Genomic DNA, 13,878 nt, shown 5'->3' with positions numbered 1-13,878 from the left:
GCAATTTGCCTGCTGTGGTAACCTTGGTCGGGCTGCCTCAGTTTCCATATCAAGAAAATGAAGAGCTTGAGCACACCCACCTCTCTCGGTTCTGGGGAGGACTGAACAGGATAATTGGGTGTGTGGCCCAGATCAAGCCCTCAGCTGATGGAAGGTTCCTGTTACCACCCCATTTGACAGACAGGCACATTGAGGCTCTGCAGGGAGAAGTGCTTGCTCTGAGGTGCCTGCCGCCAGGTGGGTCTGATGCCACAGCCCATGCTCCTACCCCACCACCATAATGCCCCCCTAATTCCCACCAGGGAGGACTGGGGAAGGGCCTGAGGACCCACTGTGCAGTCTGGGCTGCCCCATCTGGCCATTGTGACCATCTCCAGGGGCTCTCAGGGTGTTTTTACCTTCCGTCTCTCACTTCCTTTTTGCTCCCTGGAGAGAGTGCCCAGCAGCTTTCTGCAGGAGCCAAGGCATGGCAGAGCCCACCACGGGGTCTTTTGCCCCTGCTGACTCCAGCCCAGTGGAGCCAGCACCATGACCTGCCCAGGCCTGTTTTTAGGAGCCAGCCCTGCCTCCTCCTCCTGCCCACAGACCCATCTGATGAAAACGCCAACGGAGAAAAGGAGGTTGTTTTGGGTGACAATGAAACTGCCAATAAAATCTCAAACGCAGAGATAGGCAATGACTATTTCACTTATTCTGACAGTTTGAGACTTTGCTGGGGAAGGGAAGTGACAGGCACCTGCCGACATCAACACCACTTCTTTCGGAGAACAGCCCGTGGGAGGGGGCTTCCCGGGAGACCTGCCTTGCCCAGATGCCAAGCGGGCTGTGGCTGCTGCTGTTGGCAGCAGGGGCTGCGGTCACCCACGGGGAGAGACTGGACACTCTGACTCTATCCACAACTCCCCTCTGGCACAGACATATGCCAGGCTCTGGCTGGAGACCACAGAGGCAGAAACAACCAGCAAAACCCCTGCCCTTAGGGTTTGTTTTGTTTTTTTAAGACAAGGTCTGGCTCTGTCATTCAGGCTGGAGTGCAGTGGTGCAATCTCGGCTCGCTGTAACCTCTACCTCCTGGGCTCAAGCCATCCTCCCACCTCAGCCTCTCGAATAGCTGGGACTACAAGCATTCATCACGACACCCAGCTAATTTTTGTATTTTATTGTAGAGATGGGGTTTCGACATGTTGCTCAGGCTGGTCTCGAACTCTTGAGCTCAAGCCATCCTGCCATCCTCCCATCTTGGCCTCCCAAGTAGCTGGAACTATAAGCGCTTACCACAGTGCCTGGCTAATTTTTGTATTTTTTGTATAGATGGGGTTTCACCCTATTGCCTAGGCTGGTCTCAAACTCATGAGCTCAAGCAATCCTCCCACCTCAGCCTCCCAAAGTGCTAGGATTACCCACATGAGCCACCATGCCCAGCCCCTTAGGGGTTATTGGGAGTGGAATCGTGTCCCCCACAAAGAGATTTTGAAGTCCTAACCCCGGATCCCCATGAATGTGACTTTATTTGAAAATGAGGTCTTTGCAGATGTAATCAAGTTAAGATGAGGTCATGAGGGTGGGCTGCTGTCCTTATAAGAGGGAATGCCATGTGAAGCCAGACACACAGGGAGAAGGCCATGTGTCAGCAACAGCCAAGGCTGGAGTGATGCAACCGCAAGCCCAGGACTGCCAGCCACCACCAGAAGCTAGGAAGAGGCAAGGGAGGGTTCTCAGAGGACCCAGTGTCTCAGAGGGTCCCTGGTCCTGTCGACACCTTCATTCTAGACTTCTGGCCTCCTGAACCATGACAGAGTAAATCTCTGTTGTTTTAAGCCACCACATTTATGGTACTTTGTTATGGGAGCCCTAATTAGAACACCGTTATAAAGGGCTTCCATGCCAACTAGGGCATCGGCAAAAGAGGCCCCACCTCCAGCTGGAGACTATCAAAAGAGGGGTATATGGCCGGGCACAGTGGCTCATGCCTGTTATCCCAGCACTTTGGGAGGCCGAGGGGTGGGGGATTGCTTGAGCCCAGAAGTTCGAGACCACCCTGGGCAACATAGCAAGAACCCCATCTCTACAAAAAAAAAAAAAAAAAAGTAAAAAATTAGCCAGGCATACTAGTACATGACTGTAGTTCCAGCTACTTGAGAGGTTGAGGTGGTAGGATGGCTTGAGCTCATGAGTTCAAGGCTGCAGTGAGCTGTGATTGTGCCACCACACAGCAGCCTGGGTGACAGAGTGAGAACCAGTCTCAAAAGAAGGGAGCAGGGTATACCCGCTCCTTGAACAGAGTGACAAGGTGGACTCCAAAACTGAAAGGCTGCTCCAGGCACCTACAAAATCTTCCTATCTGTCACCTCCTCTCCATCTGTCCCTAATGCCACTGCCCCTCTCCAGCCATTGTACCTCTCACCTGACTCCTTTCCCCCTGCCCCTCCATTTATCATGCCGCAGCCAGAGAACTTTATAAAGCATCATTATGACCCCACCATCCCTGCCTAACACCCACCCTGGCTCCCCAGAGCCCTCAGGATAAAACTTGCTTTATGTTGGCCTCATACTTACTGTAGGTTCCAACTGAACACAGAACAGCGTTTGGATTCTCTGCGCACACCACGGTATTGCTCACTTCAGTGCCTTTGCTGCCTCAAATGCCCTCTCTTACCTTCTAGCCCAGCCAAAATTCCACCAAGGTACCTCTTCCTCCAGGAAGCCTTCCTTGATCCCATGCCAGGCTAGGAAGAAGAGGCACCCCTCTTCTTCCCTGTTCCCATGGTAACTCAGAATCCACTGCTCTTCACTGTCATCATCAGTTTGCTTAGCTTGCTCTGCCCTGTAAGCCCTGGAGGGCAGGGAAGGGTTCATCTGAGCTCAGGCAGTACCTCCACCGGATACCTCCGCCCCAGCCACACTTGGCCCTTGGCCAAGAAGCTGGCCCTTGAAACAAATGCTGGCTCAACCATCAAGACCCAGGCCAGACCACCTGCTACTTGTGACACTCTGTGAGTGTGACACTCTGCGAGTCCAGGGCTGGAGAAGAGGAACTGACTTTGGGATCAAAGGCTCTGCGCTTGAGCCCCATCTACCTGCTGGCTGGCCTTAGGCATGCTGCTTCCTGTCTCTGAGCTTCATTATCTTTGTCTGTGAAATGGGAACAGCAAGACCTACAAATATGGGGCTGAATTGTAGTCATTATTAATGATTATTATCATCATCATAATGATCAGTTCATTGTAATTGTAATGATTATTTTGTGGGCTTCTGTTTCCAAATCCATGTATCTTTCAAGGTTGCCTTCCCTGCCCAACTGCTCAGACTTGTGAGTCACGCATGCACCCTGGGAGAGTACTCAACATTCCTATATGTCATTGAATTCTTGTAACTCTTTACATATTTATTTGATATTCTTGTAACTGGATGACATCTCCCTTACCAGCAGGGACTGTGTCATATTTCAGGGGCTCTTGAGAAACTCAGCACCTGCTGCTTGATAGATGTGTGCCCTCCCTGCCCACCCACGCCCTATATCGATCTGAAACACCCCAGGGCCAGGGCCTTGAGTTGAGGAAGAAACCACAGGGTAGAGGTTATAAACTGGATGAGAGCTCAAGCAGACCCTTGTTTCCAGCCAGCTCTGCCCCTAGCAGGCTGTGAGACTGAGGTTCAGCCACTTCACCTTTCTGAGTCTCAAATTTCCCTTCTGCAAAGTGGGGCATAGAATACCTACTTCTCAGGACATCGGGAGACAGCGCACACCAAAGTGTCTGGCACATGGCAGATGTTAGATGAATGAGCAGATATTGAACCTCAGAGTCCTGGGGTTGATCCCAGCTTCACCCCTTCCTGGCTGGGTGATGTCAGGCACACCCCACCACAACTCTGACTGTCAGGTTTCTCTTCTGGGGAATGGAGAGCTCTTGTGAGAATGAAATGAGGTCATGGGTGTTAAGCCTGGCACCAGTGTGTGCAGTAAGTAATGGCTACTATTTCATTGCATTGAATTGTAGAAATGTTCAGACCTGCATGTCAGGGCCAGTGCCCCCACACCCAAGATCTGTGAAACGGAGTGAGGGAGAAGATGCAGACGGGACCTGGCAGCATGAGGCCCTTCCCCAAAATAAGGACATTTCCTAGGCCTGGGGCCTTCCAGCCCATCACCTCAAAGTACTCACTAGTCCCCTGAATGCTGAGAGGAAAGGTCTATAAAGGCCCTTCCTTCCCTTTGAGTAAAGCAAGGATAAGAAGAGAAGCATCCACACCTGCTTTGGACCAGCACCTGACCTCCACCTATTCCAAGACCCAGCAAACCCCTTTGGAGGGCTGGGCAGGTGGCCTAGGGAAGCCAGATGTACTGAGCTGAGCAGGATGGCCATGTTGCAGGCAAGGGGGCCTTTGTCTGTCTACTTCTCTGTTCATTCATTCATTCCTTTATGCATCCATTCATCCAGAAAGACTCAAGCTCTTAGCATGAGCCAGGCACTGTGCTAGACTCAGGGGGACCGGTGAGTGGGCTCCTATGTGTGCCCTCAGGAAGGCGCAGTTTCCTGAGGAGACAGGCGATGCAACAAGTCAACAACAGATGGCACATTTGGACATAAAGCAAAGGGAGAGATGGAGGGCAAGAGGGGAGAACTGCATTAGGAGGAGGGTGGGTCAGGGAAGGCTTTTGGAGGAGGTGAGTGGTAAACTGAGGCCACATGCCAGCCAGGTGAAGTGTGAGGGTGCGGAGGAGGTGTGTGTGTGTGTGGCGGGGGTGGGGGGGTCGGGGGGATGTTCCAGGCAGAGGGAACAGCAGAGGCAAAGGGCCTGGGGTGGCACTTGTTTCCATCTCCATCATCATCACTGTCATCAATGCTCCCATCTAGCCAGGGCTCCCTGTGTGAGCACCGGGAGGGACTCCATGTTCATTTTTCTCTCCTGCACCTGAGTGTGGGCTTCTGGAAGGCAGGCTGGATCAGCATGGCCCACCACTACCTCCTCTGTGACTCAGCACAGCACCCAGTGCAGAATCGTCACCCCGTCCCATGCGCTGAGTGAACATGCACAGTGAATACGCAGGCCCTGTGTTCAGTGCCCTGCCCCTGCCTCCTCGCTTTATCCCCACAACCACCTGATGAGCCGGTTCCTCGTCTCCATTTTTCACATAAAGAAACTGAGGCTGAGAGGCAATGTTGCTCACCCAAGGTCACACAGCCAGCAAGTGGCAGAGCTGAGATTCGAACCCAGTTCTATCTGGGCTCTTCTGCTCCATTGCCCAGGCCCTCAGGCCCCTGGATCAGGAAGTGGTGGGGTTGGGATGGAGGGGGAGCACAGAGCAGGGCCCCCAGCCCCCTGCTTCCAAAGGAAGCAGGTCCGAGAGGGAAGGTATGGCCAGCCAGCTCCATAAATAACCCGGGTCCCAGGGCCCTGCCAGCAGTTTGGCAGCCGGAGAGAGAGTGTGTGTGTAATACAAACAGCACTAATCCCCTGTCAGTTAAACTGGATATCAGAGGAGACAAGCTTCCGAGCGGGGCGGCCTAATTGAATCGAATTGAAAAGGCGGAATGGGCGGCCGGGCAGCCAAGGAGGGCTGCCGGGGAGCAGAGCGGGCGGCTCGGCGCAGCTGTCTGGGCCTCTCCGCTGCCCTGGGCCGGGCGGCATTCCAGCCCCCACCACAGGGAGCCAGGCTTAGGGAGCAGGAATCACAAGAATGGGGGGGTGCACCCCCAGCGAGGGTGCTCCGCCCCCTCCGGCCTCCCCTTTATCTGCTGGCTCTGCCGTTTTCTCTCCATTGCTGACCCTTTTTCTGCTCCCTCTGTTATCTCAAATAATGTCACTGCCTCTTTAGAATCTAGTCATCAGAGCAGAAAGAAGTCCGTGCTGACACTGATAAAAAAAAATACCATCTGTGCCTCCCGGGGATGAGCTCACAACCCAGCCGCCGGTGCCCCTGCCGCCCCGCCACCCGCAGGCCTGCTGCTTCGTGGGGCACTGAGGGGTAATCAGATTCCAGGGGGGGCCCCACCCCTGGGGGTGACCCCCATGCCCCAGCTCACTCCCCAGAGCCAGAGGGGCCCGGCTTCTGAAGGTCTCAACCCTGGGGTGGTTTCCATTTTGCACCCGGGCTTGACATAATCATTTGTTATTGTTTAAAATTTGGTTTTATTACTGAACGGTATTTAAAAATCAAATTTTATCCACAACTCCAGATTTCTGAATTCTTTTTAAAAATTAAATAGAAAGGTTTGGATGGTGGGTTCACCACCCTGCAGGGCAACAGCTGGCTGGAGCTGGGGCCAGGGGCCTGCCGCGTCCTCCCCAAGCCTGGCTTGTGGCTGCCTGCCTGGTCCCTGGAGGCTTGTGAGTTTGAGACCCCTGAGCAGGGAGAGGTTATCAGAGTGATGCTGAGATGCAGGCGGGGAACAAGACCAGGCCACGGCCCCCGGGGGCTTCTCATGGGTCTGGGAATAACATCTCAGATATGAAAAGGAGACCGAGATCCAGAAAGGGGAAGCCACTCACCTAAGTCACACAGCATTTAGAAATGCTGGCTCCCTGCACAGTGCTCTCCTCAACCACACAAGGCAGGTGGGGAGGTGGGGAGTCCCGATCCTGGCCTCGCCACACACCTTCACCCTACTCCTCATCAAAGCCGTGACTCTTGCATCCACGTGCCCTCAGCCCTCCGTGGAGCCAACTCTGGTCAAAACTGACTACTGGCATCAGCAGAGGTACTAGCATCTCCCAGGGCCAGTGAGGACACGTTAGCAGCTCTCTTGCTCTTTTTCCTGACCTTGGGATGCCCCATCTTGACCCAGCACCCTCAGCCATTCAGAGCCTGGGTTTGAGTCCCAGCTCTGCCACAACCATACTGCGTGACCCATCTCTGTGCCTCAGTTTCCTCATCTGCAGAGTGTAGGTCCTTGTAGCTCTATCGGGGAATGATCTTGATGGACCAACGTCCATCAAGTGGTGGATGTGTCTCTTTGAGGCAGATGGTAGGAGATGGTAACGTGGGGCGAGTGAGAGCCGCTCTGATGCCTGCCAAGGACAAGGCCAGCTGTGTGCACAAAACATCCCTTGCCCAGTGAAGTCAAAGGGGAAATGGAGCAGATGTGGCTGTCTTGACAACAGAAGGCAGGTGCTCGGTTCGAGGGGAGTCTCTTCCTCCAAGGTTGTGTCCTCCAACTTCCAGACCTGTGATCATCACTGGCTCACATTGTGGTCTCAGGCAGCCCAGCCAGATCCAACTAGTTGCTTAAGTCCCTCAGGGCTGAAAGGGGTGGCTCTTCCCTCTAATCTCCCTCTGGGGACAGGACATGTCAGCAAAACCTAGCCTTGCCTAGTGATGAAAGGGGAGGAGGCCCCAGGCTTTAGAGTCAGTCCTACTGGATTCAAATCCTGGCTTGGCCACTTCTGAGCTGTCGCGTCGCCTCTCTGAGCCTCAGTTTCCCCCTCTCTGATAATAACAATAGTTCCTATCCCCCGGGTGCTGAGTCTAAGTACTAGGTGCCAGGCTACGTTTTATTTATTTATTTATTTATTTATTTAAGATGAAGTCTCGCTCTTTCGCCCAGGCTGGAGTGCAATGGCGCGATCTCAGCTCACTGCAGCCTTGACCTCCGGGCTCAAGCAGTCCTCCCACTTCAGCTTTCCAGGTAGCTGGGACTACAGGCATGTGCCACCATGTCCGGCTAATTTTTTTGTATTTTTGGTAGAGACGGGGTTTTGCCATGTTGTCCAGGCTGGTCTCCAACTCCTGGGCTCAAGGGATCTGCACGCCTCGACCTCCCAAAGTGCTAGGATTACAGCATGAGCCACTGCGCCCAGCCTGAGCTATGTTTTAGATGTGCATTATTTCCTAGTATTTCTACTTTACTGATGAGGCACCTGAGGCTCAGAGAAATAATGTGACCTGCCTAAGGCCCCAGAGCTGGAAGTAGTCAGGCCACAGATCAAAGGCCAGATCTGTCTGAGCCCAGAGTCCACAAAATACTGATTGCTAGGAGGATTAAATGAGAGCATCGGAGCTTCTGGCAGAGTAAACAGACACCATTATTTCAATGGATGGGGACAATGAGGCCCAGAGAGGGCAAGAGACCTGCCGGAAGTCACCCAGCAAGCCACCTTGTCCTCTTTCATTTGGTTTTCTCCTTGCCTTCCCCTCTCCACATCCTGCTCACCTCCCTTCTCCCACAAATGCTCACCTCCACATCTGGGGCCAAGACAGCCAGGGTGACACAGGAGAGCACTGTGCTTGGAATCTAGAGACCTGTCTCAGGGCCGAGCTTCTGCACCTGATGACTGCATGACTTGGAGCAGAGACTTCCTCTCTGGGCCTCAGTTTCCTGCTATGTAAAATGGGGTTCACCACACTTTCCTCCTGGGCTCGCCATGAGTATGGGCGGAGGAAGTGACACGAAAGCCTCCGGAACCACGGCCAGCATGCCGAAGCGGGGCAGGAGCAGCTCTGGTCAGTCACCTCACTTCCCTGGGGCCTGGCCCAGTTCCTGGCATATAGAACGTGTGCATTTAACATTTGCTGAATGGATAGTGCTCATGAAGAAGGGGCTGGATCCTGCCTGCAGTGGCTGTGGAGTCTGGCAGCTTCTTTCTTTGGGCAGGGAGGATGCCCATGTGCCTAGGACAGCTTCGGTGCCCCTTCAACATCCAAGGGGGCCACCGTGGCCTCAGCCAGTGCATTACCCAAATGCCTCAAAATGGATATTTTCCTGATCAGATTTAAAATATGTATAACAGCTTGGGTGCAGTGGCTCACGCCTGTAATCCCAACACTTTGGGAGGCCGAGGTGGGAGGATCGCTTGAGCCCAGGACAACATGCCAGCCTGGGCAACATAGAGACCCTGTCTCTACAAAAAAATAAAACACATAGCCAGGCATGGTGGCATGAGCCTGTGGTTCTAGCTACTCAGGAAGCTGAGATGGGAGAATTGCTTGAGCCCAGGAGTTCAAGGCTACAATGAGCTGTGATCACGCCACTGCACTCCAGTCTGGGTGACAGAGGGAGACCCTTTCTCTAAAAAAAAAAAAAAAAAAAGAGAGAGAGATTAAAAAACAAACGAAAAACCACGTATAACAGACCCTGTTAATCTGAGTGAGGGAGCATGGAGGTTTGGGCTCAGATGCCTGTAAAAGAGGCTCAGTTGGCATTCCGTCTCTTACCCTCTCTGTGCAAGTAAGTGGCTCCCTGCTCTGTGAGCCTGAGTGTGGTGAGAATCAATGCGCTCAGGCCTCCCCCATGCCCTCCCTAGGTCTGGAGGGAGGCAGGGGCTGGTCTGGGAGGAGAAGGAGCCCCCTCCCTCTCCCTCGGGCTGTGGCCCCCTCATTGCTTCCCTGGTTTTTGGGAGGAAACAGAAACCCCAAGAGAGTCCGGCAGCTATGTCATGGACCTGTCACTTGGCCACTTTTCTGCAGCCTCGTTTGTCACATTACAAGGTTTATGGTGGAAAAAAAATAAGACAGAAGACTCTGGTTTGACTTAATAGCTTGAGCCAGTGTACCTGGGACCCGGGGCCCCTTGCCCTCACGCTGCACCAGGCAGAATGGCGTCTCACCCCCCACTGGCCAGTACAGAGCCCTTTCACCCTGAGCGACAAAGAAGGGCCCTGGTCAGACCCTGCGGTGCAGGAGGTCTCGTCCAGCTAGACTGACAGGGTTCAAACCTGAGCACACTCCCTCGGGTGAGCCACTGAGCCTGTCTGAGAGCATCTGTCTGCTTCTCTGCAAAATGGGGAAATAATTCAGGCCCACAACCCAAGACACTCTGAAACCCAGGGCCTTGGCATCAAAATTCATTTGTCAGCAAATGCAGCAGGCTGGGCATGGTGGCTCATGCCTGTAATCCCAGCACCTTGGGAGGCTGAGGTGGGAGGATTGCTTGAGCCCAGGAACTGGAAACCAGCCTGGGCAACATAGCAAAACCCCATCTCTACAAAAAGTAGAAAAAGAAGCAGGGGGTGGTGGCGCATGCCTGTAGTCTCAGCTATTCAGGAGGCTGAGGTGGGAGAATTGCTTGAGCTTGGGAGGTCGAGGCTGCAGTGAGCTGTGATCTTGCCACTGCAGTACAGCCTGGGCAACAGAGCAAGACCCTGTCTCAAAAAAAAAAAAAAAAAAAAAAGGCCAGTGCCACATAGGCTCACATATTATTTATGGCCTTCACTCGACTTAGTGGGACTCTTCGTACCTTTCATATAGAGTCAGGGGTTGGTGGTGCTGCCCCAGATGCCACGTGGAATGAAACATGGGCCGGGAGGGGGTCTCCCTAAAACCTGCAAAATCCTCCATTCCACATCACATCTGGCCCCAGGATTTTGGACAAAGAATTGTGGTTCTGTTGTACCTGGTCTGCAGGGTTGCTGTGGGAAGTAAGTGGAATGATGCCTGAGGGGTTTAGCACCCTGCCTGGGATGTTACATTTGAGGAAACTGAGGCCGAGTTGGGGGTACAGAGGAGTCCCGGCTGGAAGTCACGCAGCCAGCAGGTGCAGAAGCTGGGCCTGAAGACGGATCTCTGGATTGCAAGTGCTTTTCCTGTGACAACCCTGCCGCATGGAGAAAACCAAATGGCAAGGAAGAGGACAAGGTGGCTCACTGTGTGACCTTAGGCAATCTCTTGCCCTCTCTGAGTCTTGGTCTCCGCATTCACAGCAAACGAGGTGATGGACTGTGTGATCTCCAAGGGTCCTCCTGACCCTGACACTTTTGGATTCAAGCAACTGAAGCATTCATTGGGAGACCATTGCCCTTGTCTGTTTCAGTTTTGAGGACATGAGGTGTGAGGTGTGAGGTTCGGCCCAGTGCCAGGTTTTCCTTGGATATGGGGAGGTGGGGGCTCCGGGCACAGTGCTGTGAGACCACACATCATGTTCTTTGGCAGGTTGCTCCCTTTGCCTGTTTGTTGTGTAGGTTGGGGGTCTGAGGTGTTCACAGCCAGGGCCAAGCGGGCAGCAGGGGTGAGCTGGGCCAGCACCGCTGGGGCAGATGTGACAACTCAGTTCTGTCAATTAGGTATGGTGGGGAGAGGGAGCTCGGAGAGGTCACCAGTCACCTCCCCGGGGAGAGTCTAGACACGGGCTAAGAGCAGGGCCCTGAAGTTACACAGAACTGCGTGCAAATCCCACTCTGCCACGTGACCCTGGGCAAGTCACTTCCCTACTCTGGGCCTCAGTTTACTCACCAACAGAATGGGGATAAGCACGGTAATTAGCTCAATGGACTGAAATGATTCACAGGGATAAAGCACACAAAGCACTTAGCACCATGCTGAGCACATCGTAGGTGCTCAGTAAAGGGTTCAAGACCTCCCAAAGCCATGTGGAGGGGCTGGATTCTGAATGACCAGTGTAGAAGACACAGCATTCTGCAGGATGATCCGCTGGGTCTCTTAAGCAAGTCATATCATGGAGAAAAATAGGTATGAGTGTGTGTGTGTGTGTGTGTGTGTGTAGGGCTGCTGTGCTAGATTAAAAGAGAAGCCAGGGCTGTAACAGCCAGGTATGTGGTATTAGACAGGGTGCCGGACACCTGGCCCAACTGGAGGAAATGTGACTATAGCCTGGGCATTAGAGATGAAACATATTGACAGAGAAAGGTGACTGGAAACCAAAAAGGTAGGTAACAAAACAGCATGTACAGTATGATCTCACTTTATCGAACAGCATGAACACACACACACACACACACACACACAGAGGGAAAGGTGGCAGCTGTTCACAGGGGTAATCTCTGTATGGTAAAAACACAGTGCTTTGATGTGATTTTTGCTAATCTGTATTTTCTTTCTACAGTGTATTTACACTGTTTCTGTAATAGTAAAAATATTATAATTTGAGAACTAAAGAGCTCAGACTAGGAACCAGAGCTCCTGGCCTCAAATCCAGCTCTCTGCCCCTTCCTAGAAGACAGTAGGTGCTAAGAGACAGCCAAAGAACTTGTCCAAAATTAGCTGGAAACCAGGAAGGGCTGGGGAAGGAAGCACCTGCGAGGTGCGGGCCCCTGAGCCAGGTGTCTTCCAAAGGGCGCTAGCTGAGGAAACAAGGAGGAAAACAGCCGTGGAGGAGAAAGGAGCTGGCTGGGCCAAGCACAAGCGAAGGGCAGGGCCGGCCCCCCACCACGCTTGCTGACCTGGAGCCAGCCAGCCAACGCGACTGGCTGCCAGCAGGCCACAGAAACCTTGGTGAGGAAAGACTCCTCACCAGGCCAAGTGTGGTGGCTCATGCCTGTAATCCCAGCACTTTGGGAGGCCGAGGTGGGCAGATCATTTGAGGTCAGGAGTTCGAGACCAGCCTGGCCAACGTGGCGGAAACCCTGTCTCTACTAAAAATACAAAAATTACCCAGGCGTGGTGGCACACACCTGTAATCCCAGCTACTTGGGAGGCTGAGGCGGGAGAATCACTTGAACCTGGGAAGCAGAGGTTGCAGAGAGCCAAGATGGCGCCACTGCACTCCAGCCTGGGCAACAGAGTGAGACTGTCTAAAAATAAATAAAAGGACTCCTCACTGACAGAGACGACATCAGTGCAACCATAGCAGCTACTCTGTCTGGAAAGAACCACAGTATTTCCTGCCTGCCTCCCAAAGTGAGACCCTTGCCAGAACCAGGGAAATTCTCTGAGAACTTCAGGCTGCAGACCCTGGGAGCGGCTCCAGCTTATGACCTGAAAGGCACTGCTGTTCCCCTCGCAAAGAAGGTGTCAGTGCTATGTGACCGCCTCTTTGCAGAGGAAGCAGGGAGGTGGGAAAGCCGGTGGGCCTTAGGTGTGTTTCTCCAACAGCGACCCAAGGGGTCTCAACCTAGGGGCTTTGGACCATCTGGGCAGGGCGCCTTGAGCCAGCTCTGTGCACCATTCTGAAGTTTTGGGGCTCTGGAAGACACCCTTATCTCTCAGCATAAGACAGTTATAATAATGAGTATTTATTGAGCACTTACCGTGTGCCACGCACTGTGTCAAGGGCCTTCTGTATATTTTCTCATTGATCCCCACGAAACCTCCATAAGGTGGGTATTAGTGAATCCCACTTTCCCGATGAGGAAGCTGTGGCCTCCAGAGGTAAGCTGTCTTGCCCAAGGTCACATGGCCAGGGGGTGGGCAGGGCTGAAGTGCTCAACCACCACAATGGCGTGCAGAGATGACCCTGGGGTCATCCAGTTCGGTATCTTCAGCCCTGGCTGCATTTTCTTATTTTTTAAAAATATTTTTGAGACGGGGTCTCACTCTGTCATCCAGGCTGGAGTGCAGTGGCACCATCATAGCTCACTGCAGCCTCCAACTCCTGGGCTCAGGCGATCCTCCTGCCTCAGCGTCCTGAGTAGCTGGGACTACAGGTGTGCAGCACCATGTGGTGCTTGGTCACACGTTAGAATCACCTGGGAGCTTTTAAAAGATGTCTTTTTAAAAAGATACCGCTGAGACAGATTAACTCAGAATATCTGGGGTGGAGTCAGGAATTCGTGGGTCCTTAGGTGGTTCCGAGGTGCAGCTCTGAGAGCGAGAACCACTGCAATAGGCAATGAGAAGGGGTGACAGCCGCAAGTGCCAACTGTCTACAAGGTAGCCAGGAGTGTGACACCAGGCCCATATGGTGGCCGCAGGGGTGGCTGGGTTGAAAGGTTGCTCTGGCCAAAGCGCACCGGCAGCTGCTTCACTGGAGCAAGAGTGTTGAGCTGGCCCCTGCCCCAGGAGTGACATCCTGTCCCCAGGGAATGAGAGAGAGAGGGCCTCAAGGAGCAGACGGGCTCTGGGGGTCTCAGCCTCTGTCCCCTGCACCCATCTCACAGCTGCCGCGGACATCTATGGAAGCCTGGGGAGGCTCCCAGGCCCACCTCCTAAAGGCTGGAGGCTGGCTGTCAGCCAGCGCCATCACTGAGGGCACAGCAGCCTCTGGC

At 53.4% G+C, this 13,878-nt stretch overlaps 2 annotated features.

Annotated features, from left to right (window-relative positions):
• Positions 628-1,128: an enhancer, noted in NCBI's record as "H3K4me1 hESC enhancer chr12:110049030-110049530 (GRCh37/hg19 assembly coordinates)". NCBI's record gives its function as "activates a minimal SCP1, AML or CMV promoter by ChIP-STARR-seq in naive H9 embryonic stem cells {active_cell/tissue: H9 hESC(naive)}" and the evidence as "EXISTENCE:reporter gene assay evidence [ECO:0000049][PMID:30033119]".
• Positions 13,136-13,825: an enhancer, noted in NCBI's record as "H3K27ac-H3K4me1 hESC enhancer chr12:110036333-110037022 (GRCh37/hg19 assembly coordinates)". NCBI's record gives its function as "activates a minimal SCP1, AML or CMV promoter by ChIP-STARR-seq in naive H9 embryonic stem cells {active_cell/tissue: H9 hESC(naive)}" and the evidence as "EXISTENCE:reporter gene assay evidence [ECO:0000049][PMID:30033119]".

The sequence above is a fragment of the Homo sapiens genome, chromosome 12 (assembly GCF_000001405.40).
Source record: "Homo sapiens chromosome 12, GRCh38.p14 Primary Assembly".
Taxonomy (NCBI): Eukaryota; Metazoa; Chordata; class Mammalia; order Primates; family Hominidae; genus Homo; species Homo sapiens.
Note: the sequence above shows the minus strand (reverse complement) of the source record. Positions and strands in the feature narration are given on the sequence as shown.